Here is a 24,465-nt window from a genome sequence, read left to right on the forward strand (position 1 = left end):
CAGGATGCTGCACGCACTGGGCTCTCCAGCTGACTTCTGATGTCCGTCTCCTGGTGGAGTTGTCTCTTCCTCCTCCCAGCCAGATCCTTCTCCTGTGCCCTGGAAACTGAGAACACTGGGGATTTAGGGGAGAAGGGAAGGCCCCAGTCACGATTGGGCAGGCAGGGGTAGGAGCTGCCAGGTAAACAGATCCCTCTGATGTGCACGGCCCACTACCACCATGGGTAGACTCTACTTCCTCAAGGGCAGGGCTAGGAACCCCAGGATGAATTCAAATCAAATGACTATAAAATCTCCTGGCCGTGACAGGCACATGTCAGAGGTTCAAGAAAGTGAGTGAGTGAAGGAATGAATCAGTCCATTGATCAATCAATTGCTGGGAGCCCAAATGTTATTCAGTCTAACCTCAGCCACATTGTTCCCCAGTTTTCGCTTACACACTTCCAGTGACAGGGAGCTCACTACTTCAGGTGGCAAAATGGTTTTAGTTTTAGATTGCCCTTATGAGCCAGATCTTTAGCTTCTGGGTCCCTCTCAGCCCCAGTCCACGCTGCAGGTGGGACCTAGAATACATTTAGCCTCTTTTTTATGGGCTGGTACCCAAGTCTTCATGAGCAAGAGAAAGCGCAGAACACAGGAGCTTGGAGCCCACGCACCTTTCCTCATCCTCTCTGGCCAGAGTGGGTCTGTGACTTGCCCAAGGCCACACAGCTGGCTAAGGGCTAAGCCAAGACCAGACCGCAGACCCGGCTTTCCACTGTTTCCTTCTAAATCCCACATCCCCTCTGGGACTTCCTTCAGTGTTCCCCACAGTGGGCACTCCCTCCCCACATCCAGCCCACCCCACGATGCTGAGGATCCACTTCCTCTATGGAGACCCTCAGGCTGCAGAAACCCATCTCTCGTCACTGCCAGAGACACGCACAAGTCCACGTGTCAGGAGCTGTGCCAGGACCAAGACCAACAGAGTAGCCTGTGTGTCTCTTCTTCCCGCCAGACAGAGGCCTCCCCCAAGTTGCAGGCCTGCGTGTATGTGCACGCATGTGTGAGCATGTATGTGTGTGTGTGTGTATGTGCACGCCAGTGTGTGAGATCACGCCTGAGGCTCCCAGAGTGAGAGGAACACGCCGCAAGCTGTCGGCACATCCTGCCAAGGCAGAAAGGTTAATTGTCACGCACGATGCCAACAGACAGACCTCCGGCGGATTCATTTGGTTTTGTTTTGTGGTTATTTTTTTTTACAACTTTAAATACGGAATATAAATAAATTTTACATTTAAAAAATAAAAGGAAAGCCCCCAAAAATATAATCACCGACTTTACAAACTGAAGGAAGCAGGTTTTGGAAGGCGGGAAGGGGGAAAGTGCAGTAGGTGGGAAGGGAGGTGGGAGCTCAGATCCCACCCCAGGGGGTCTTGGGGATCTTTTCCCTTCTCTCCCCCATTCCCAGCCCACGAGCTGGTTTCCTAGGAGGAGCCACCAGAGGTGGAGCTCAGAAGGATCAAAGATGGGGAAGTGTGCAAGCAGGGAGGGGTGCGGGCAAGAGGGCTGCACCCTCCCTTGGAGACCTTCTCCCAGGTGTCCCACACCCACCTGGAAGGGCAGTTGCTGGAGCAGAGGACTTTGGGAAATGGAGGTCATGTGGACAGCAGTGTTGCCTCCCTGCCCCTACCACAGTCTCCCTCCTATTTGGCCACTCCAAGCCACAGGCTGCATCAGGGGCACAGCCAGTCCACAAGGAGTCTTTGTGTGAATTAGGAAAAGGATCCTTTTCCTCTTTACCTACATCTGCCAGAAATTGTCATAATAAATATACAAATCAGCTTTATCTATGATGTGAACAGTGCTCCCTGCATACAATGTCCTTGTGCAGTACACACCCTGCACAACCTTACATGGCAGTCGTGGCTGGGTTGGAATATGATGAGCAGGTCCCTTGCTGCCCTGGCCTCTAGTCTTCTGCCCTAGAGAGGAGTGACTGGGATCATCTGGGGCCTTAATAAGGGGTTCAAGAGCCCCTTGGTGGAGCAGACTGAAGGGCCAGGACAAGAGGAAAATGCAGGGTGGAGGTAGAGAGATGAAAGGAACCAGAGGAAGAGGTGAATCAGAGTGGAGTGTGGGGAGGAAGGGGTGGCAGGAGGCAGGGGATACCCAGGTCACCATCTACAGCCACCTCAACAGCAAACTCCATCTCTAACCCACCTGAGAGGGCACCCAGCCACTTGGTGTGCTGGCCACACCCACCAAGAGGAGTCCACGTCTTCAAAACGAAAACGAAAAGAAGCCACTGTGCACAGAGGCACCAGGGAGACGAGGTGACTGGTGTTTGGGCACCGTGGGAGGGGTTTTCTCCAGTCTGTGTGCCCGTCTGTGGTCTTAGCCATGGAGTCCGAGGCAGCCTGGCCTGCCTGGAGGTGCCTCCCCTCAGAGCTGGCCAGGGGTTCAGGGATCAGGCAGGCTATGCTGAGAGGTCCTCAGGGCTCCTCAGGACAGTCCACAGCGCTCAGGTGTGGCCCAGGCCAGGTGCAGGGGAAGGAGCCCGTTTCCCCCAAAGAGCGACCCCATCAGTCTCTCTCACACTCTTATCCCAAGTTCTTGGAGTTAAGGGAAGAAGATGGCGATGGAGTTCAGTCCTTCTTTTTCTTCTTGAGCTGCTGGGCAAGACGCCGGAGGCCGCTGGGAGGAGACCCGCTGATGGAAGGGTGGACGGACACGTGGAGGGGTGGGGGAAGCACCATTGGCCGTCCGAATCAGGCATCGAGACAGACGGACGAGGGAAACAATATTATCACTCCAAGGACCCCATGGGGGCAATACAGCAAATACCATATTAAATAACCCTGCAGGCCAAGCAGAGAGACACAGGGGTCAGAGACAGCCTAGAGGGTCCATCCCATGTTCATATGTCCCCGATGCCAGGGGCAGGGAGCTGGGGTCAACTAGCCACCCCTGATTTCCAGCAATGCTCAGGGCTGGGGGCATTGAGGGGCTGGGAAGATTGAGATTTAGACCTCCCATCCTCTTAGGGCATGCTGGGACACAGCTGGGCTGGGGTCTCCAAAGCCCACCACCCACCCTGCCCCAGCTGATAACTGGACAGGGAGGACCAAGGCTCAGAGGCTGGATTTTCTATGGAAAAATCCTTTCCCCTGACCCCATCCACAGACCACAGAGAAGAAAACACAGGATTCTGGGCCTCAGTTGCCCCGCCTGGCCCTCACCTGCCCACACACTCTCCTGCCGATGCCCCTAGGCTCCAAGGGTCTCCTTCAGTGCCGTCTTGTCATGCGTGTGCTTGAATTTCCGGTGCTTGCCCTTGGGGGGCCGGCGGACTCGCACCGTCCGAATGGTCACCCGAGTTTGGGGCGTTTTGGCTGCACAAGAAAAAGAAAGACCTCGTCAGCATGTGGACCATTGGGGAGGTCTCTCCCCACTGACCAAGGCCTGCCATGGACCTTCTGGGCTCAGGAAAGGGACAGGAGGGGAATCTGGACCAGGGTCCTGGGTTTGGATCCCAACTCCACTGCTCACCAGCTGTATGTGCCTTGGGGACAATGACTGAAACTCTCTGAGCCTTGGCGCCTCCATCTGTGGAATGGGGGTAATAAGACTGCCCACCTCATAGAACTGGTGGGAGGAATAAATGACAGTATGCTGGCAAAGCTCTTTGCACAGTACTGGACACAGAGCCGGGTAGATTAAATATGGCTTCAAGTTCTTTGTCATTGCCCACTGACCAATAGAGTTTATTTCCCTGCCCCTTGAATCTGGCCTGGAGTTGGATCTGGTTAACCAACAAGAGGCAGACGTGGTGCCGTGCCAGTTCCAGGCAGAGGTCTTAAGAAGGGCTGGCAGTTCTCACCTTCATGCTTTGGGGGACCCTGGGCTGCCACATAACAGGTCTGGCTACCTTGCTGGAGAGGCCACATGGAGAGGCCTGGTGGGGACTGGCTCTCCCCGTAGAGCCAGAGGCCCTGGACTACAGGGAGAGGAAAAGAGGCCCAGCTGTCCCCGTTGAGTCTCCAGATGACCACAGCCCAGGCCACCAGCTGACTGCAACCAATAGAGGGGCCAATAGAACTGCCCAGCTGAGCCCAGTCAACCCCCAGACCTGGGAAAGATAATAAAAAGCTCCAAGTATGAAGTGGTCAGCACATGGCAGCTGCTACGACTCACTTTTTTTTCTTATTTTCCTTAGCTTGACCTACTATTGAGGTTTCCTCCCAACCTCTCAGCCCCGTCCGATCACGTGGTGTGGAGGCCACTGGGCTCTGGGCCAGAATCATACTCCCACCATGAAGCTGGGCCTTCGGGTCAGTTGTGCCTGTCACCTACCTGCCCCTTGCCACTCTGAGAAATGGTAGAGTGGGATGGGCCACAACTCAGGCTGAGGATCTGACCCACCTGGGCTCAAATCTGGGCTCTCCCACGTATCGTGGACATTGGAGCAAGTCACTTAACTGCCCTGTGCCTCGATTTCCGCATCTTTATTTATTTGTTTTTAAGATGGAGGCTCACTCTGTTGCCCAGGTTGGAGTGCAGTGGCGCGATCTCAGCTCACTGCAACCTCCACCTCGCAGGTTCAAGTGATTCTCCTGCCTCAGCCTCCCGAGTAGCTGGGATTACAGGCATGCACCATGACACCTGGTTAATTTTTGTATTTTTAGTAGAGATGGGGTTTCACCATGTTGGCCAGGCTGGTCTTGAACTCCTGACCTCAAGTGATCCACCTGCCTTGGCCTCCCAAAGTGCTGGGATTACAGGCATACGCCATGACACCTGGTTAATTTTTGTATTTTTAGTAGAGATGGGGTTTCACCATGTTGGCCAGGCTGGTCTTGAACTCCTGACCTCAAGTGATCCACCTGCCTTGGCCTCCCAAAGTGCTGGGATTACAGGCGTGAGCCACCACGCCCAGCCGATTTCCACATCTTTAAAGCAGAGAAGACAGCAGCCCTGGCCTCCTAGCGTTAGGAGACAATACATGGAAATGGCCAGAAACCCCCCAGCTAGTGTTTACCATGTACCTGGTGCTGTTCTATGCTCATTTCCCTTCACGGCAGGTGCTGTTACCGGCAGATGCTGTTACCCACACTTTACAGATGAGGAAACTGAAGCAGAGAGACTGGGATTTGAACTCAGGGATCTGCCTCTAGAGTGCACACCTCCAACCACTCAGCACAAACGACAGTGCCTGTGAGCCTCAGTCAAGGGGAGCTCTTATACACTTCTCTCCGTCCTGGATTCCCAGGTGGCCACCCTGGCAGGGACAGCTGTGTCTGCTGAGCTCAAGGCCAGCCATTTCCTGGGAGCCTTTTGAGCTCTCCCAGCCTACCGGGATCTGACACCTGACCTCCCACCTTACAGACACCAGCTCCCACGAGGCAGCTCTCCCATCTCTGCAATTGCGCAGATTTTCTAGCAGTTCAGGGACTTGAATGGGCTTCAGATCCCCTCAGACAGAAGACACCAGGAGGGCCACTGAAGGGCCCAGGGAGTTTCTTCCCCAGAGCCTGGGCCATCAGCAGGACACTGGGCTATACCAAGCCCAGGCAAGCACAAGGTCACCACACAGCTCAAGTGACAACACGCAGATCTGAGCCCAGGAGGTCTGACACTGACCACATTATCACAGAGAGCCACACTACCAAGCCTTAGCCAGGCCCATGGACAGGTGACAGAAACACCGTCATACTCAACCAAAATACCGGAACTAAAATGATGGGACTTTACATCATCTACGTTTCACTGGTATAATGCGCCTCCCAAGAAACTGGTTTAGAAAATTACGTCAAACAAATACATGAAGTAACTCACTCTAAACATAAAGAAGGCCAGGCGTGGTGGCTCAATGCCTGTAATCCCAGCACCTTGGGAGGCTGAGGTGGGAGGATCACTTGAACCCAGGAGTTAGAGACCAGCCTGAGCAACGAATCAAGACCTCATCTCTACAAAAACTTAAAATATTAGCTGGACGTGGTGGCACATGCCTGTAATCCCAGCTACTCAGGAGGCTGAGGAGGGAGGCTCGCTTGAGCCCAGGAAGGAGTTCAAGGCTGCAGTGAGCTATGATCATGCCATTGCACTCCAGCCTGGGTGATGGAGAGAGACCCTGTCTCTTAAAAAAGAAAGAGGCTGGGCGTGGTGGCTCACGCCTGTAATCCCAGCACTTTGGGAGGCCGAGGCAGGTGGATCACTTGAGGTCAGGAGTTCAAGACCAGCCTGGCCAACATGGTGAAACCCCGTTTCTACTAAAAATACAAAAATTAGCCGGGTGTAGTGGCATGTGTCTGTAATTCCAGCTACTCGGGAGGCTAAGGCGGGAGAATTGCTTGAACCCAGGAGGTAGAGGTTGCAGTGAGCCAAGATTGTGCCACTGTACTCCAGACTGCGTGACAGGGTGAGACTGCCTCAAAAAAAATATATATATATATAGATATATATAATTTTCCCTTAATAGAGAAATCACCCTCCATATTAACTCAATAATTTACAACATGTCAGTTTGAAGCTGTCATATGATCAGCCTTTCCATGGCATCCAGCGACTCAGCTCAGCTCTGGGAATAAGACACAGATGCCAAGAAATGGCTCCGTCTTCAGGGTCTTGTTAATAAGAAATGAGAATGAAAAGATTGTCCTGTCCCTAACAATAGAAAGTTACTGAAAAAGAACTATCACTTACGTGATTTTTTTAAACGCTCATCTAATCGTATTAATCATTTTTTTTTTGAGGCAGGGTCTTGCTCTGTTGCCCAGGCTGGAGTGCAGTGGTGCCATCACGGCTCACTGTAGCCTCGACATCCCAGCCTCAAGCGATCCTCCCACCTCAGCCTCCTAAGTAGCTGAGACTACAGGCGTGTGCCGCTATGCCTGGCTAATTTTTGTATTTTTTGTAGAGATGCCTCACAATGCTGCCAATTCCACCTTGCACCCCTGACTGATCACCAGCTAGCTGTTCTGCATATGGAGCTGAAATCTCTCTCCAGTGGCTTCTCCCCACTGGTCCTGGTTCCCCCGCTCAAGGATACGAGAAATTCGTTTGATTTCTCATCCCCAGGACAAGCTGCTCACTATCGGAAGTTGATGTGCGCGGAGCTTTCTCTCATCCAGGCCCAGATTCCTTCCACCATCCCATCCCCACATCCAACAAAGCAGGGGGCTATGGTAGCAAGACTGGAAATGGCGCTGCTCTGGATGGGGTGGTCAGGGCAGACTTCTAGGAGGAGGTGACTTCTGAGCTGAGACTCTAATGAAGAGAAGGAGCTAGGCTTGTGGAGAGCTGGGAGAAGTGTTCTTCAGCCACAGCAGTGTGTGCTAAAGCCTTGAGGCAGAAACTCCATTAGTTACTGAAAGAGGCCTGCCCGGCGGGGGTGGCACAGGTGAAGGGTACTGGTTGGCAGAGACCAGAGAGCCAGCCAGGGGCTAATCCTCATGTAGGGCTCTCAGGCCAGGGAGGAACCTGGCTTGTGTCTCAGCAAGATGAAAAGAAAGCCTCCCGTGAATTTAACCGGGGGCGGGCCTGATCCCATTTCCATTTTTAAGACCGGCCCCTGCCCCCAGCTGCTGCAGGGGAAGGGGGCTGAGGGCTGAGCCTGGAAAGGTGGTTACCTCGCTGCTCCTGGGAACCCCCCGGGCTTCGGGTCACAGGCCGTGCAGCTGCCACTGTCTCACACTTGCATGCCAGGTGGTCTTCCAGCGTCACCGTGGCCTTCTTAAAGATTGGCTTCTTCCGCACAATCTCGATCTTTCTCACCTGGAGGACAGAGCCACAAAATGCCTCTGTAGAGACCACACAGCCAGGAGCCCGGGAAGCCCGAATGGCTTGCGCTTCCCACCCCGGTGTCCCCTGCAGCAATCTTTCCTCGAAAGCCCGGAGAGCAGGCTGTGGGGCAAAAGCTTTGGCCCAAACAATAGCAGGACCTTGACCTCTGCCCTTCTCGTAGCTTTTCCATCAAAACAAGCCCTCCCGACCTGGGGCCCCCCTCAGTGCCCCCAGAGAGGGACAGCCAGAAAGGCATTTCCGGGTTGAGCTGGGGCCTGCGGTATCCTCATTCCCGGAGCGCCAGCCAAGGTCAGGGCTGCGGCAGAGGCGGGAGATGGTTGTCTGGAAGGAAGTGGGGGGAGGCTTCATCTAGGAGGGAGGTGGGAACGGGGAGGTCAGATGTCAGGTGTCCATCCATAGAGCTGGAAGCATCGAGGACAGGAGATACCACGAGAGTGGGCAGTGGGGTGGAGTGACATTCGTAGTCTCAGGCGTGGGGCCCAAGCCAGGGAGGGAAGGTGGGCAGGAGGAGAGGCCACGGGCTGGTGGCAGGAGAAGGAAGTGCGGCTAAGCAGGCAGAGCATCGGGCAAGGGCCGGTGCTGAGCTAGAGAAATGCGCACTGCCCAGCCTGTGGGCGAGGCTGGCCTGGGGCGTGCAGGAATCTTTCCACAAGAAGCAGAAGCAGCAGCTTCTCTGACTCTGCCCCGACTAGGGTGAGACCAGGGTGCTCCCTGAGACAGCCTCTACTCTAGAATTTTCCCTGAGTCCAGTGTATGTATCCCCCGTCCCTCCGAAGAAAAGCAGGATCAGCATTCCACTGTTGTCAGGGGACCTGCCCCAGCTCCGCAGTGTCTATCACCTGGTGGGCCTCTCTGCACTCTCTTTATTAAAGACACAGCTTGTCAAAGAGAGACAAGCAGGTGTCAAAGATGCAGGGCCACCCATCTGAGCCTTTCTCAAGACAGCCCTGAATAGGGAGAGCTTTGGGGGAACCTGAGTAGCTCCCCAAAACATTCTGAGTGTCAGATAAATGTTTGCGGATACGGCTCTTCAAGGGACGTTTTGCGATTTTGTCCTTGTAAAGGAGGTGACATCCCTACTTCACGTTGGCTCCACACCTCGCCCAGCCCGGGGGGTCTGTCTGTGGCTTTTGGCTACAGTGGCCTGAGCCACCTCAGAGGACTCATGGTCGGCCTCAGTCCACCTGCCTAGGAAGAGCTTCCCAAGAGTGGGCCTCTCTGGACAGAGCCCAGGAACAAATCAGGAATGTCCTTCGACACACCACTCTGCCCAGTCAAGGAAGCCTGGTCAGGTATGAGCCCCAGAAGGGTGGTCTCCACCCACCACCGGGACCAGCCTCGGGGGGCCGCGGAGCCTACGCACCTGGACAGGTCGCAGCTGCACCTGGGTGGGGCGGCACTGCACGTTGCGGTTGTTGCAGCAGCCGGAGCAGCGCTGCACCTCCACACAGGGCGGCCACACCAGGAAGTTGGCGTTGGTGCGGTCTATGAGGCGCCGGGAGATCTCGAACACCTCGGTGCGCGTCTTGCACTCGGCGATCATGGCCGGCTCAGCAATGGTCAGGGAACCTGGGAGGAGACGAAACCTGGGTCAGGAGCGTAGGCCTGTCCAGAGTCCCCCCACTTGGCAGGGGAGCTCAGCGGGTGCCTCCGGGACTGCTCTTTCTCACGCCCTTCAACCCCAGGGTTCAGGTTTCAAGTCCTGGCTGTCATTAGCCATGGGACTTGGGCAGATGGCTGAGCCACTCTAAGCCTGTGTTTCCCCATCTGAAAATGGGACCATGAGATCTACACCCAAGAACCACTGTAGTTTCAAGTGAGAAAATTCAGAGTGTGGGGCATGTTGTAAATGCTTAGTAAATGTCCGCTTCCCTCTGCTGGCACATGACTATTTTATTCTTCTTTATGATTTTACACATTTATGGGCTTGCCCAACATGTGGTTTTTATGCAGGTACCATATTAGCTCGAAACCACGCGTGCACTGCTGTCTCACGGTGCCTTGGATTCCTGCATCACTGCTGCTTTCAAAGCCTCAGCTTCCTCCTCTATGAAATGGGATAATAACAGCACCTCCCTCCCATGTGGATCTAAGGTGTAAAGTGAGTAAGCCTTGCCTACAGCAAGCACTGAGGTTACCGATGCTATCCATGTACAGAGGACAGGAGGCTCTGAGAGCTGAATATCCCGTCCGCCCACATTCATAGATTGGGGGTGGAACTCAGGCCACCTGACTTTTTTCTTTTTTTTTGAGACGGAGTCTTGCTCTGTCGCCAGGCTGGAGTGCAGTGGCGTGGTCTCGGCTAACTGCAACCTCCGCCTCCCTGGTTCAAGCAATTCTCCTGCCTCAGCCTCCCAAGTAGCATGGACTACAGGAACCTGCCACCACGCCCAGCTAATTTTTGTATTTTTAATAGAGACAGGGTTTCACCATGTCGGTCAGGATGATCTCCATCTCTTGACCTCGTGATCTGCCTGCCTCAGCCTCCCAAAGTGCTAGGATTACAGGCGTGAGCCACCATGCCCGGCCCAGGCCACCTGACTCTTATTCATCGTTCCCCCAGCCTCTAACTGCAGTGTTTTGGGGACTCCAGGTGTCAAAGAGGAGGAGGGGTTTGAGTGGACATTTGCCTCACCTGGGAGGGTTTCTCTGGGACCTAATGATCTACGGTCTCCTTTAGGTCTCTGCAAGGGAGCAGGAGGAAGTTCCAGGCTTTGCTCGAGGTCTACCAGCCTAGGCCGCGGCCCTTTGCCACAGGAGATACCCATAGCCCATCAGGGACCACGCTGGGTTCAAGTGAGGGGAGCAGGTTGGGATCTCAGCCCTACCGCTCCCTAGCAGTGTGACCTCGCCTAGTTCTTTACCCTCTCTGGGCCCCAGTTTCCAACTCTGTGAAATGGGGTTAATAATATCTACCTCCAGGATTGAAATAAGGAACGAATGAGCTTTGCAGCACTATATTTAGAAACCAGAGAGTGTGGGGGCGAGGGGCTGTGATGACTGAACACAGGCATTTAAGGATGGTTTTACTCTCTCAGTTCGCTCAGTCCTGAATGTGGGGGGAACGGGAGTTGTAAGAGGACCCTCGGGGCCCTCCGACTGGCTGCCCGCCCCCGTTCTCTTTCCCTGGCCCCCATGCTAATTTGAAGGACCCTTGTTGGGTGTCTCAGTCTTACCCAGGCTCCTTCTTCCACGAGCCAAGCTCTCCAGCTCGCCTCCAGAGTGGGAGCGGGTCATGTTCAGGTCCAACTCGGCCCCATCTTCCTCTGCAGGAGAAGTCACAGTCAGACACCAGGCGGCCCCACCTTGGGCAGGGGCTCCCTCCGCCGGGGTGTCTGGGCAGGCGGGAGGTTTGCCTCTCCCCCACTCCAGAGAACAGTCCCTCCTTCCAGCCCCCATAAATGCACGGGTCCTGGCCCTGAGCAGGGACCCTCCAAGCAGCCCCCAGGACAGCTGCAGGCCCAGGATCCTGACTGCATCCCTGGCTCTTTAGCCAACATTTTTGGCCAGAACCCATGTCAGTGGAGTTAAAAATAACCCTTCCCCTTTGCTACTGTAAGTGAACCCTCCTCGGCCTCCAGGGCGGGGCCGGGACCTAGGGCACTGAAGGCCAGTTTCCAGTGCCCCTCCACCCAGCGTTCCCATAGGAAGTGCTGAATGGAGAAATTCCCAGAAGCCCCAGGGGGACCGCATGCCCTGAACACAGCCCCTCTGGAGCCCCGGACAATGGCCGCGCTGGGCAGGCGGGAGCCACGGAGGGAGGGAGGGAGGGAGAGGGATGGGGGTGGGAGCTGAAGACAGAGAAGAGGAGAAGAGGGGTGGGAGTTGGGCCTGCTGGGGGTGGGGAGTCCCTGCCACACACCCTTCTAGGGCCTGGTCTCTCTAGCTCCGGGGCCCTCACACCGTATCTGTATCTGTGTCTGTCTCCCTCCCCTTCTCTAAACTGTTGCCCCACCTCTGCCCCCAGCCGTCTGTTGATTCCTCTGGTCACAAATGACAGCTCCCTTTTCTAGCCTGGGCACCATCTCAGTCCCATCAGCCCTCCTTGGAGACATCGGTCCTTTCCAGAGCCCATGGCCAGAGGTTGGCTGCTGGGAAGTGAGGGCTGAGGGAGGCCTCTGAGCTGGATGTTAAGGCGTGGACAGACCCTTCTGTCTCTCTCATGGGTGAGGAGCCACAAATAAACTAAGGGGCATTGGGAACACGCTCCTGCCACCTCCACACAGCACCCCATGGCTCCAGTTCTGGCACCGACCCACTGGCCCCATCCAAGACAAAGGCGCCTGCCGCCTGTCCGTCCCGGGTACTGCAGGGAGTCTGATGACTAGTCCGCTTCCGTCCAGCCTGACAGCCCCTACGTCAACGAGCCTATCTGTCCCTCTGGCTCCTTTCCTTTCTCCCTGCCATCTCTGGAATGTCCCTGGTGGGGAGGAGATGGGGAAAAGATGCGCTTTGTGGAAAGGTTAAGTTGATTAGGAAAAAATAGCCACATGGTTGCCTTGAAACAGGCCTGCTATTGAAACCTCATCTCCAAGATCCCGACCCCCACCAGGGGTGTGGAGGGGCCGTCTGAGGGTGGGGGTGTAAAGGCTTGGAAAGAAATGGTAGAAAGGCTAAATTTGGAAGTTGCCCCATTGTGTGTGGCCAGGGGCGGCCAGTCGGGCATAGGGTGGGGGTTGTGGGAGACATCGGGTGGGGGCCCTGGCGAACAATAGGTGGGCCCAGCTGGGGCCCCCTCCTGCCTGCCTCACCGCCCCCCAGCACAGGCGGGATTGAAAGGGCCCGGGAATGCTTTTGAGAGGGAGCCAGGGGCCCAACGGGGAGAGGAAACAAAGGCAGGAAATGCTGTTCCCCCGTAGATAGCGTCTGGGCAAGGATTACAAAGTGACAAAGAGACAGAACCCCAGAGGGAAGGGGACCTGGGGGTGCAGGGGGGCTGCTGACCAGGGCTCCAGGGAACAGGCCAGAGGTTAGAATAGAATGGAATTTGCTCTGAAGACAGCGTTTATAAATACATTGTCAATCCAGCCCGCCAGCCCCGCCACGTGTGTGCCACCGAGCACGTGCCCATTCGCTGAGTGAGCTCTGGGGCACGGGCAGGGCTGCCTGCTGGTCGAGGCCAGGTGTCCCCAGGGGACCTCACAGACCGGGCCCCTAGCCAGAGGGGCGGGGAGATGACTCCTCCAGTGCCACCCTCCCTGGCTGGGCCCACACCTGGAGACATACTCGGCAGATGCCCTGGGCACCTTCTCCCCGCCCTCCCTCCTCCTGGCACCCCACCCTTGGCACCAAGCCGGAGCCACACGTGGGTGCTTCTCCTGCCACACCCCAAGTCCCAGGTACCAACCCGCCTGCTGACTCGGCCCTGCCCTGGATGGGTGTGGCCACGCTCTCTCTGGGCTGCCATGGGCCTCTAGTTCTCCAGACGTCAAGAAGGAGGGATGCCTCCTGTCCTGCCCCTCCCAGATCTCTTAAAGTCTCCTCGGAGGGCCGGAGCGCGGGGCGAGGATTCCATTTACCTCCGGGGTCTCCGTGCAGCAGGCGTTGGAGATCATCAAAGGAGCGGATCGAGTGGTCACTCAGCATCTCATAAAGCTCCTCGGGAATGGGGTCCCCCTGCCGGGCAGACACCAAAAGGCTGAGTGAGCTGGGAGTGGGGGCTTTCCAGCATGGCTGTCTCCCCCACCACACGCTTTCTCGCTTTCTCCTGTGGAAAGCTCCAAGGTCACAGGGAGACGGACAGGCAGGATCCAGGCCTGATGATCAGGAGCACAAAGGCCTCGGGGCCTGGACCTGCCGAAGCCTCTGAGACCCAGCTCAGTCCCTGCACCCTCAACCCCCAACAGGAACCCCAGCTTGCTTTGAGTTGGACCTGCTTGTCTCTATGTCTGTCTCCCCCACCAAACTACATGTTCTGGGAATGCACCAAAATCTGATTTCTCCCTGAGTCTCACAACACACCTGACAGCTGAAGACAGCCAGCATCTCCCATGGCCAATCTAACCCCCATTTTACAGAGGGGAAAACAAACGTTCAAAGAGAGGCTCAATTATTGGCAAAAGCTGCATTCAAACCCATGCCTTTGGGATGACAGAGCCTGTACTCCCAGGCTCCTGGGTACAAGAGGTGCTTAATAAACGCGTGCAGAGTGCGATGGCCTCAGGAGGCCCCAGGTCCTAGCGGTATCTATGAAGTCTCTCACTCGAAAGAGGCGAAAAGGGAATCCTCGGACACGGCCGGGAAACCTGAAAGCTTACCCGTGCCCTGTGCCCAACCAAACCCTATTTTTAGAGCCCCTTTGGCCTGTTGCCAAACATACTCGAAACCTGATAACACTTCAACAGGCCTCATTCGGAGCTGGGCTTCCTCCAGGGAAACCGCAGGTCCCACAATGACACAAGAGCAGCCCCGTAGGAAGGTCACAGCCACGTCCCCCACAGTCCCAGGAGACCCAAGGGGCGGATGCCAGAGATCCCAAGAAAGAGGCGAGGGCAGATGGGAGACTGAGAATCACAATCCAGACCACCAGCCACTGAGAAGCAAAGAAAATTCCTAAGATGTCGCTGCACGTTCAAAGGCTGGAACCGGACTTCCACGTGTGCAAACACACACGTGCAGGCACAGGCACTCGGGCTGCACGGTCTGGACAGACAGTCCTGGAGAGGGCATCAATAGGCTTGGCACATTACTATAGAACCTTGGGTTAAACTATTTTCTGCCTCAGTTTCCCTGGATTAAGAAGGGAGGACTTCCCTTCTTGGTTCGCTCCACATTCCCGGAGCCGAAGGTCGGGGGGCTCAGAGGGGGTCGGTGCAGGCTACCTTCACAAAAGGGATGCTGCTTTCTCGCTGCCTGACGGCGGAGGGGGAGCGAGGGAGAGGAGAAGAGGTCGTCTCAGCCCTGTGGCCAGCCTCAGGGGGCTCTCCCCGAAAGCTCTGTTTCCTCCAGCTTATCATGAGGTCTAGCAACACCTCCAGGGGTTCATCCATGACCAACTCTGGCCACCCACATCGATCCAGGAGCCAGAAGACTCAGGGCGGGGGGTGGGGGTGACCACTTTTAAAGCTACATCATTCCCTGAAACCCCTGAGTCTCCATGTCTTTGTTTGAACATGGAGCTTACAACTCCGCCCAATGTCTAAGGGCTGCTGGGCAACTTGAGGAAAAAAAGGTGGCAGGGCTTGGCTGAGAACTAGGGTCTTTCCTTCAATATCCGGGCAGCCAGGGGCTGCACGTGCAAGACAGAGGAGGGTATGGGCCCCGCTGCCCCTCACTTTCGGCCCCATCTCCTCCGGGCTCTGCCTCCTCCCGCCCTCAAGCAAGTTCATTCTTTCCACCTCAGAAGAGAGACCACGCCTCCGGTGCTCTCCAAATGTTGACAAAGTACCCAACCCACAGAACAGAGGGCTTGGTCTCCAGTGAACACCAGCGAAAGCCGCTTCCCCTGAGAGTTCTGTCAAACCCAGAACTGGCAGGCCAGAGAGCTGAATCCCACGCCTTTGGACCAACTGCCGTGTGACCTCGGCTGGTCACTGCCCCTATGGTCCTGGCTCTCATCTGTGAATCGAGGGGCTTGAAGAACATTCGATTCAATTCTAATTCTGCCAGGAGGCGTTAGAAGGGGCAGAGAAAACGCCAAAGCCGGGTGCCTAGCCAGGCCTCCCTGGATCACTGGCAGAAGGAGAACAAGAAGCGTTTGTGGAGTAAAGATTCAATTAACCCCCCAGGGGAGGGGCCCAAAGGCCTAGTAGCAAATGGCATTTAGTGCTTGTGCCAAGATCTCCCTGCCCACTGGAGAGCCGGCTGCAGCTGCCAGCCACGGCAGAGGAGGCAGACCCCTGAACAGGCCGAGTGGACACCCCAGATCCAGGCCCACGACACATAGGAGATGCCCCTCCAAGGCTGAGTGTGAAAGAGCCCAGGATAGGGTCTGAGGAGGAGAGAGAGGCACATAGTAGGTCCTCGGTAAATACTGGTCAAATGCATGAAGGAGTCTACCATTTTCCAGGTTCTGTCCAGTATGATTCTTCTGCCTCCTCCACCAGGAGGGCCACCTGGGATATTCTTCCCCAACCCTAGGCAAATGAGCAACTAGAGTCCCTTTTAATCTGAGCAGGGAGACCGTCCCTGAAGATGCTTTTGGTAATGTGGCCACTAGATGCCCAGAACTACCCATAAGCCCCCGGATTTGGTAATAATACCACAACTAACATCTATGAATGCCAGCTACAAGCCACACGCTGAGAAAAACACCGTATAAACTACCAATCCTAAGAGGCTGGCAGTATTTGTATCCCCATCCTCCAGATGAGAACACTGAAGCTTAGAAAAAATTAAACAAGCAGCAACAGGTCCAGACAATTAGCAAGTGGCAGAGCTGGGTCGTTCCCAGGCTCCAGACTGCCCACCTGTTCCAGCCCACCATGGGGCGTCTCAGCCTCCCTCTCCTGTGTTCTAAGGCCACTGGCCCTCAGCATCACACAAGGTTCGTGTTGGCTCTTTACTCTGCAGCATGTCCCACGTCAGAGGCTCTCAACCAGGGCCCAGTGGGCCCCCAGGGGACAGTGGCAATGTATGAAGGCATCGCTGGTGGCCACAACTTGGGGTGTGCACTGCATCTTAAGTTGGGGGAGGCCGGGGATGCCGCTCACCACCCTTCAGGGCACAGGACGGCCTTCCCAAACATCAGGAGTGCAGAGGCTGAGAAACCCTGTAGCGGAGGAAAGAGCAAGGGCTCCAGATGCCAGGGCAACCTGGATTCTTGGAATCTTGTCACAATCTAAAACCTCGGCTTCTGCATCTTTTAAATGGGGCTAATAATACCTCGCCCGGGGTTACTGGGAGGCATAATTGCACAGAGCAGAGCTGCCAGCAGATAATGGGAGCTTAATGAGTTGTCACTGTCATCATCATTAATTCTTTCCGGATGGCTCCTTTGTGGGCAGCAGCGAGTGGCACACGTGCTCAGGGCCAGCAGCACAGGACATTTTTGAGGATGACAAGGAGTGGGTGGAGAGCTGCCTGCCCATGAAAGAGTGCGTGACTTTGCATTATCCCTTGTGCTGGGCCACAGGAAATGGTACCCTACCTCCACACTGGCAGAGCCTGGGCCGTGTGGGCTTACAAGGCCCTTCCGGGGCTGGGGGTGGGTGAGGGTGGGGGGACACTCAGCACGTGCTCAGCTCCAGGATGCAATGCTCTGGGGATGACGAGCATGAGCACCTGTTGGGAGTCACAGGCTCTTCTTGGTATGGGAAGGTGAGCCGCCCGGAGCCTGGTTTTCCTGGGCACAGGTTCCGCAGGCCTCCAGGTGGACAGCTCACTTCAGAGATGGGAAAGGAGGCCTGGCACCCTGAAGAAGCTGTCCCAAGATCTCAGGCCCGGGGTTTCTGGCAGAGTGAGGGCGTGGCGAGGAGGCAGCTGGGGCAAAGCCAGCCGTGGGAGCCAAGGTAAACAGCCTCCTCCGACCCCGCCCCCAGCGCCAGCTGCAGCAGGTAGGAAGGGCACGAGCGAGCGTGAGGCCAGGTGAGTGATCTGCTCCCAACCAGGCTGGCAGATCAAAGGGGCTTGAACCCCACCCTCCTCCTGGGCCCAGCACACACACACAGATACACACTCCCCGGCCCGCCTGCCATTCCCACCAAGGGACACACAGGCCCAAGCAACCAGGGGCGTTGTCTGTGGCTGGCAGAGGAAGAAGCTGATGAGGCCTCCCAGAGCCTGCCTGCCTGAGAGTCGCAGGCCTTATTTAGATCGAATGCCAAAGCCAACCAACCCCTTTGAAGAAGCCCTCTCGGGGCAAACCACAGAAGCCATTAGAACCAGTGTTTCCCACCTAGCATTCCCCTTCTTTATTGCTCTTGGGACCCTCCCGCTCAGCCTCTGCTCCTTCACGTGGGCCCAGAACCCTGGCCTCCCCACCTCTTGCAGGAGCAGAGGAAAATTAAAGCAGGAAGAGAGGAACCAGTCCAGCCATTTATAATACTGGCAACCACGGCAATCACTGCCCATCCCCATCCCAGCCAGGGGACGGGGCCAGGGGATTCTGCCATTCTTTGGGAACTCTGCACTAATCCAATCTTCTCTCTCTCTTTTTTTTTTTAGGTGGCAGAAACTTAGCCCCAGCTAAAGATACACAGAACCTTTGCAGTCTGATTTTCTTTCTGTTTCTTCTCCTCTGTCCTGTCTAATCCTGGTAGCCCAAGTCCCAAGACAGAGGAGAGACAGACATGCTTCTCTCTCAAGATGGGGGGCTTTGAAAGACTGATGCCTACCAGAGGGCTGAAAAGGGGGGCTGCCCTCGGAGCAGAGCAAAGCGAGGACTCAGTGGGGCCATGGAGCAACAGGGGGCCAGGTCCTGCCCTCCCCACCAACCCAGCACTAACTGTTCTTTGCACTAATAGTTACTGATTGTCCACAGGGCTCTGGGCACTGTTCTAAAAGTGGGGACCAGGAGGAAAGCTCTCTAATGGGGTTGACACTCCAGTAGAGAAAGCAGGTAATAAACAATGAAATAAACCAGAACATAGGAAGAGTTGTCACAGAAGAGGCTCCTCAATGTGGGGAGGGGAAGACAAGACGTGGAGAGGTACTTACGAGGCCCATGATAAACATCTCACCATTCCTGCTCAGTCAGTCTCTCTCTCTCTCTCTCTCAGATGCGCACACACACACACACACACACTCTCTCTCTCTCTCTCTTCCTGGCTCTTGCACCAGATCCTCCAAATTCTGTTTGACCTGCCCTTGCACACCTCCAGGGCTCTGGGATTCCAGCAGTTGGTCTCCTGCCCCCTAGGGCCATTAGCAAAGCCAGAGGAAGCTGGATGGCAAAGGGCAGTGGGGCCCTTCACTCTTTCCCGGAAGAAGTGTGCTGAGGCCAGACGCGTCACGTGACAGTGGGACTCGCCCTCCTGGAAGCCAGCTCAGCTGGTGGAGATGGCACCTCAGAGGCCTCGGCAGGCCCTCCACCCAGCCCTGCCTCACGGCTGCCTGCCGTCTGCTGAAAGATTAGTCCGAGCACGACCAGGACGTGGACAGCTCCAAGGCCACCTCCACCAGCAGGCCTGCCCTGACTCTCCCAGCACTGGCCATTACAGCTCCTTCCTGGACTGACCCCTGCGTGGTTCCATCCCCATGCAGGTCCCCTCCCCCAGGGCCAGCCTGAGGCTCACTCAGGCTTAGCAGCAAAGTGCTTCATAAACTGCAAAGTGCCACATACATCGCGCCTGTGGCCATGTGTTCAAGAATGCTGTGACTAAAGTGAGGAGAAAGGCAGTTTCTGTGCCACAGCCTCCACCCCAGATACACGAGCCCGTGGAGCTGTGGGAAAGAAGGAGGAGGTGCTGGACGAAGCTGGAAATGGTAAGGGGAGGCTGGGGAAACATCCAGCTGTCAGCGGCCTCCCCGGGGCACGCTGGGATCAGCCAAGAGAATGCAACAGCCAGGGGTGGGAGCCCCCTCCGCGGTTGCACACGCCAGGTCCCTCCAGTCTTGCAGGTTCAAATGAAGGCTTATGTGAAGGGGGAATCGCTCTGGACAGCTCAGTGCCCCTCAGAGTCACATCACCACCATTTTCCACCACGCGGAGGTGGTTGAAAAAAAGGAGTCACAGATGGGTAAGGTTTGAGGGGCGTCGGGCTGACGAGGCAAAAAAAAAAGTAGGTGCTGTGGTGCTGATGGGAGGTTCTCCCTCCCTCACAGGACGCCAGGAAGGAAATGGGGCCGCTACAGAGGTGGTGAGGTGCCAGGGCCCACGGAGGGCCCACCTGTTGCGCGGGGGCGAGCACCAGGCGCTGGGTGCACGGGGGCCCGTGCGTGCCTGTGTACGTGCGTGGGTGTGCGCGCACGTGTGCTCAGGCCGCGCGTGCAGGGGCCGTGCGTGCGTTTGTGTGCGGTGCGCGCGCGTGTGTCCCGCGTGTGCACGGGCGTGGCAGAGGCGGGCGCGCGACCTGGCCGCGGTAGTGCGTGCCCGTCGCTCTGCGCGCCCGCCCGCCGGAGCGCAGCATCGCCTCCGGCCAGGAGTGTGCATGCGTGGGGTGAGTGAGCGAGTCGGGGGCCCGGGCGGGGTGGGCTGCGGAGAGCAGCCACGGGGCGCCGCCGTTCCCAGGACGCCCTGGCACCGGGCCCAGCCCCCAGGTCCCACGGCGAGGCGAGGCGGCAGCTGGGGCCGGCCGGCCACCCCCTCCCCAACAGCTGGCCGCGGCCCGGGGGGCTGCGGGAGAGGCGGAGAGGGGGCGTCGGGAGGGGCCTGAAGGCGGCCCGGCCGAGCCCCGCGTCCTCCCTCCCGGGTGCGGGCCGCGGGGGGCGGCCGCGGAAGGGCGGGGCCCCCGGGCGGGCGGCCTGCGGCCCTCGAGGAGCCCCGAGAACAAAAGGAGACGGCGACGGCTCCTCCGTGGTCAAAACAACCTGCGCTGGCGGCAGCCCAAGGCCGGGCCGCGGCCTCCGAGCCCTCCGCCTTAACCCCTTCGCCGCCGCTGCCTCCTTCCTGCGCCTGGCTGGAGGCCGCAGGGGCCGACCCTCCCCGGGAGCCGGCGAGGTGCGGGCGAGGTGCGGACTCCCGGCCGCAGCCGGGCGGAGGTGGGACGGTACCCAGTCACGCCGCGCTCCCGGCTGCCCTCTCCTCCCCTCCACCGCGCGCGTCGTCCTGCCCCGCCCCCTTTCCCACCTGGATTCCGGGTAGACTTGCCAACTCACGGCTACGTGAGGCTGGGAGGGGTGGGGACGGCTCCGACCCCAGCGCTCCCTCAGATGTTTTTATACCCCATCTCCCGTGCAGCTAGGCTTTTGCAGGCGGCGCGCTCCGCACCCTGCATGCGGGGGAGAGAGGTGCTTCCTCCTGCAGGGCGCGGGCACAGGTACGGCAAGGCCTCAGGCACACAGCGCCCCGGGGGCTGGATTCCTTCAGAGCCCCTAGTCCTCCCCCTACCCGAGTGCCCGAAACCTACCTGCGTCTCTATCTTTCTCTCCCTCTCTCTCTCCGTCTCTCTCTCCGTCTCTCTCTCTCTCTCTCTCTTTCTCTCTCTCTCTCTCTCTCTCCCTGTTACTCCCACCCCAAACCCCGCGCCCGAGACACAAGCTGCTTCCAGACCGTGCTCTGGGGCCGGGCATGCCCTGCGCGTGCCGGAGGGCGTCCACCCGGACCCCGACCGGGAGCCAGGGTGGGACCCGAGCCCCGTCAAAGGTCGGCGTGGATGGCACCGGTGCGCAAGCTTGCACCTCCTGGGCAAGCCGATGGCAGGACAGAGCCTAAGCCGAGGCTGGCGCCGAAGTGGGCTCGGGAGGACGCGCTGCCTTCTGCACCCTGGGCACCACCCCACCCCCTCTCCCCCGGCCGGGAAGGGGCTTGTTCTCGGGTTCCCAAAGGGTGGGGGACAGGGCCACACACACCCTCCCCCGACACGGAACGGCTTAGGGAGCCAGATTCGCCCGCCGGTTGGAAAGAAAGCCACCGCTGTTGCCTTCCCTTAGAGCCTGTCACCCCCGGACCTCGCTCCCAGCCCGAAGAGGTCACCCAGCGCCCGGCGTCAGGCTCGCGGGCTGCAAGGGTCCAAAGTTCACTGCAGGGAGAGGAGGGGGCGGTCAGAAGGGGGGGGCGAAGGTAATGAATGAAGAACCAGCCCCAGCCGCCGTGGCAACTCACCTCGGCGCTGACCAGACGCAGGTAGCAGCAGAGAGACAGGAAGAGCGCCCAGCAGCGATTCATGCCGACTCCGGGCCCGGCCCCGCGGGGCCCCGGACGCGTAGATCGAGCGCGCCGCCCCCGCGGCCAGGGTGGGGGGCTGGGGAGGGGGGTGGGCTCGGCTCGGGTCCGCGGCGATCAGGCGCTCAGGCCTCTGCAGCCGCGGCTCACCCGCATGGCCCCCGGGCGCCGCCGCCCCCGGCCCCGGCTCCGTCGCTGGGGGGCAGGGGAGGACCTGGGCGCAGGACCTGGGTCCGAGGCCGCTACCTGGGCGGATCCCGAGCCCGAGTGAGCATCCACGGCCGGGGGGCTGCGTCGCGAACCAGCCGAGGCGTCTAGCCGTGTGGGGGCGCCCAGGGGACTCCAACCTCCAAGAGGAAAAGGAACACGGCAGTCGATGGTTCGTCTTCACTCGCCGGCTACAGGCGTTTTCCTCTGCCCGCCGGCTTAGCTTTTTTGCAACATTTTCTGGAAAGGCCCCCAAAATCGGAAAGCGCGGAGCTGGGCACCTCAAGGCCCAAGTCTCCCCCAAAAAACTTTTTCCAAAGTTGGCTTTGCAACGGCAGCTCGAGCACCCGGGCAGGGAGAGGTGCAAACTCCCGCCCGGGCCGGGTAGGGGGGCGGGAGCGTGTGCGCCCTGGCGCGGGGCCCGGGCGGCGGGCACGGCTGCTCCGCGCGCGCGGCGTGCCCGCTGCGCGCTCGGCTGGGCCCGGCCGACAGGTGGACGCGGCGCGAGTCCGTCGGTCCGTCTGCCCGCCCGCTCGCCGCTCTGGGCGTCCTCTGCGGGCTGCGGGCTGCGAGCTGCGAGCTGCGAGCTGCGGCTGCTCCGGTTTTCTCTTTGCAGCGAGGCTGGAGGGTGGGCTTTTTTTTTTTTTTTTCCTTTTTGCGCGCGTATGTATGTGTGTGCGCGCAAAGTATCTCTATCTAGGGAATGAAAAATGGGCGCTGGCGGCCGGAGGGGAGCCCTAGGGAGGCAGCGGGGGAGGCTGCGGGTGCGCAGGGAGGCAGGCAGGCCGCTCCCGGCTGCAGGAGGAGAAGTTGCCACCCTTTCAGCTGTTCCGGCCTTTATAAAGGAGAAGGGAGAGTGCGAGAGGTGGGTGGAGACAGCCTTTCCTCTTCTGGCCCGGAGTCAGCGCCAGGAGGGGGGGGACGCGGGAGCTGGGGGAGGGCTTGGGGCCAGGGCGGGGCGCTTAGGGGGTCTCTGAGAGCCGAGCAACCCTTCAGTCCATGAATCTGGCCCTGGGGAAAAAAGAACTAGGGGTGACCCACCGTCCCGCCCCTCAGCACAGTGACCATGGACAGGTTAGGAGCCCACGTGGTCTAGGGGGATGTCTCCAGAGCCAAGGCCAGGAGTCCACGCTCCCCTCCAGGACCAGACATTTCCACCCTGGCACAGGCATGGCAGGGAGGGACTCAGGCTCTGCAGTCTGAGAGCCTGAATTCAGATCCTGCCCTGGCACTCGGGAGCTTGGGTCACCTTGGGCAAGTCACTTCCCTCTGTCCCCTCCATCTAGCCTCAACCTGGAGATGGGGCTATTGTAAGGACTCAGTGTTAGCAAGGGAAGACACCGCAAGGTGAACCCACAGAACCCGGCAGCCAGCGCCCTTCAGCTGCAAGCTGGGTCCGAGTCTCCTCCTCCTAGCTGGTTGCCTGGCACAACAGGCCCTGCCAGCGTTGGCTGAATTTGAATTTGTTGAACTGCAAAGTCACACAAACCCCCACAGCCCTGCAGCATCTTCGCAGGGCTACCAACATGATCTTCCCGTCAGTCACCCTGCTGTTTACTATCTCCCTCAGCCCCCGGGTTCGAGGCCCAGAGCCCACCCACCCACAACCAGCCTTCACACAGTTAACGCCTTCTGCCCCCAGTCAGGGAGCTGCTGTGTCCCTGCCTTCAGCAGTCACACTGTCTCAGTCACAGTCACACGTACTCACACTGGGCCCAGCACCCCCCTCGGGACACGCAGGCTCCTGCATCACCCAGCCTCCCGGCTTTGAGGCACCCTCATCTCCTCCGCTTGCACTGTCTCTGTTATCCGCCCTTCCCTTTGGGATGTCAGCCTGCTTCTCACAGAGGAGCACACTGAGAGAGTCACACCTGCTCTCTCTTCATAGACTGTCTTCTTGGACCTGGACAGGGTGGAACAGAGGAGGAAGGACATCTCAGGTGGTCTTTACAGACCACTGCAGGCACCCACCCACTGCTGCCTACCACCCAGCAGCGTGGCACAGTGGCAGAGACACAGCCTGAAGACACATCACCTTGGTCCAAATCCTGGAGTGGCCACTTGCTGGACAAGTGTCTGCAGGAAGGTTTTTTAACCTCTCAGTACCTCGGTTTCCTCCTTTATAAACTGGAGATGAATTTATAAACTGGAGCTGGGTGTGGTAACAAGCTCCTGTAGTCCCAGCTACTCAGGAGACTGTGGATCGTTTTGAGCCCAGGAGTTTGAGGCTGCAGTGAGTTGTGACTGTGCCACTGCACTCCAGCCTGGGCAACAGAGCAAGACCCTATCTCTAAAGAAATAAAAATAAATCTATAATGGGAAGGAGTGAGAGAGAACAGAGAGGCATGGCAAAATTTTAGTGGTGATGGAAATGTTTGTCATTTTTGATTGTGGTGATGGGCTTATGGGTGTATACGTACATCACAACAAAATGTGTGCAGTTTGTTGTACCTCAGTGCAGTTGTAGAGAATTTTTACCCTGCTCCTGGAGTGGTCTGGAGGCTCCCATGAGGTCCTCCATGTGGAGGCGCTCAGCAAAACACCTTAGCAGGAAGCAAGCGCCTGGAACCTTCCATGCAGCCTTCAAGTTCACTGGTGGCCCCGCACTGCTCCAGGCACTGGGGAGACAGGTGTGAACCAGCCTAATGCAGGCCCCTGCCTTTGAAGAGCCCCATTGAGAAGGACAACCAGATGTATAAACAGATAAATTAGGAGACAGGGTGACAAGGGAGATGGGGCAGCGGGACGAGGAGATAACCCCCAAACACTAG

The 24,465-nt window shown here is 57.8% G+C and overlaps 1 protein-coding gene across 4 annotated transcripts, besides 4 other annotated features; it reads right to left on the reverse strand.

Annotated features, from left to right (window-relative positions):
- Nucleotides 886–22,509, reverse strand: PDGFB (platelet derived growth factor subunit B). 4 transcript variants are annotated; one of them, NM_002608.4, is made up of 7 exons: nucleotides 21,428–22,509; nucleotides 13,305–13,401; nucleotides 10,962–11,051; nucleotides 9,149–9,354; nucleotides 7,611–7,755; nucleotides 3,222–3,374; nucleotides 886–2,840 (listed from the first exon to the last, which is right to left on the reverse strand). In NM_002608.4, exons 1-6 carry the CDS (start codon nucleotides 21,488–21,490, stop codon nucleotides 3,250–3,252), a joined length of 726 nt encoding a protein of 241 aa, NP_002599.1. In that variant the 5' UTR covers nucleotides 21,491–22,509; the 3' UTR covers nucleotides 886–2,840; nucleotides 3,222–3,249. The 4 variants fall into 4 exon arrangements, with proteins under 4 accessions (NP_002599.1, XP_047297350.1, XP_047297349.1 ...); XM_047441394.1 differs by having other exon boundaries at nucleotides 20,453–21,462; XM_047441393.1 differs by lacking the exon at nucleotides 21,428–22,509 and adding an exon at nucleotides 18,540–18,654.
- Nucleotides 13,852–14,746: an enhancer, noted in NCBI's record as "H3K4me1 hESC enhancer chr22:39632330-39633224 (GRCh37/hg19 assembly coordinates)". NCBI's record gives its function as "activates a minimal SCP1, AML or CMV promoter by ChIP-STARR-seq in naive H9 embryonic stem cells {active_cell/tissue: H9 hESC(naive)}" and the evidence as "EXISTENCE:reporter gene assay evidence [ECO:0000049][PMID:30033119]".
- Nucleotides 14,747–15,641: an enhancer, noted in NCBI's record as "H3K4me1 hESC enhancer chr22:39633225-39634119 (GRCh37/hg19 assembly coordinates)". NCBI's record gives its function as "activates a minimal SCP1, AML or CMV promoter by ChIP-STARR-seq in naive H9 embryonic stem cells {active_cell/tissue: H9 hESC(naive)}" and the evidence as "EXISTENCE:reporter gene assay evidence [ECO:0000049][PMID:30033119]".
- Nucleotides 18,439–18,698: an enhancer, noted in NCBI's record as "active region_19036". NCBI's record gives its function as "activates an Ori minimal core promoter by ATAC-STARR-seq in GM12878 lymphoblastoid cells {active_cell/tissue: GM12878}" and the evidence as "EXISTENCE:reporter gene assay evidence [ECO:0000049][PMID:35858748]".
- Nucleotides 20,564–20,643: a silencer, noted in NCBI's record as "silent region_13747". NCBI's record gives its function as "represses an Ori minimal core promoter by ATAC-STARR-seq in GM12878 lymphoblastoid cells {active_cell/tissue: GM12878}" and the evidence as "EXISTENCE:reporter gene assay evidence [ECO:0000049][PMID:35858748]".

The sequence above is a fragment of the Homo sapiens genome, chromosome 22 (assembly GCF_000001405.40).
Source record: "Homo sapiens chromosome 22, GRCh38.p14 Primary Assembly".
Classification (NCBI taxonomy): Eukaryota; Metazoa; Chordata; class Mammalia; order Primates; family Hominidae; genus Homo; species Homo sapiens.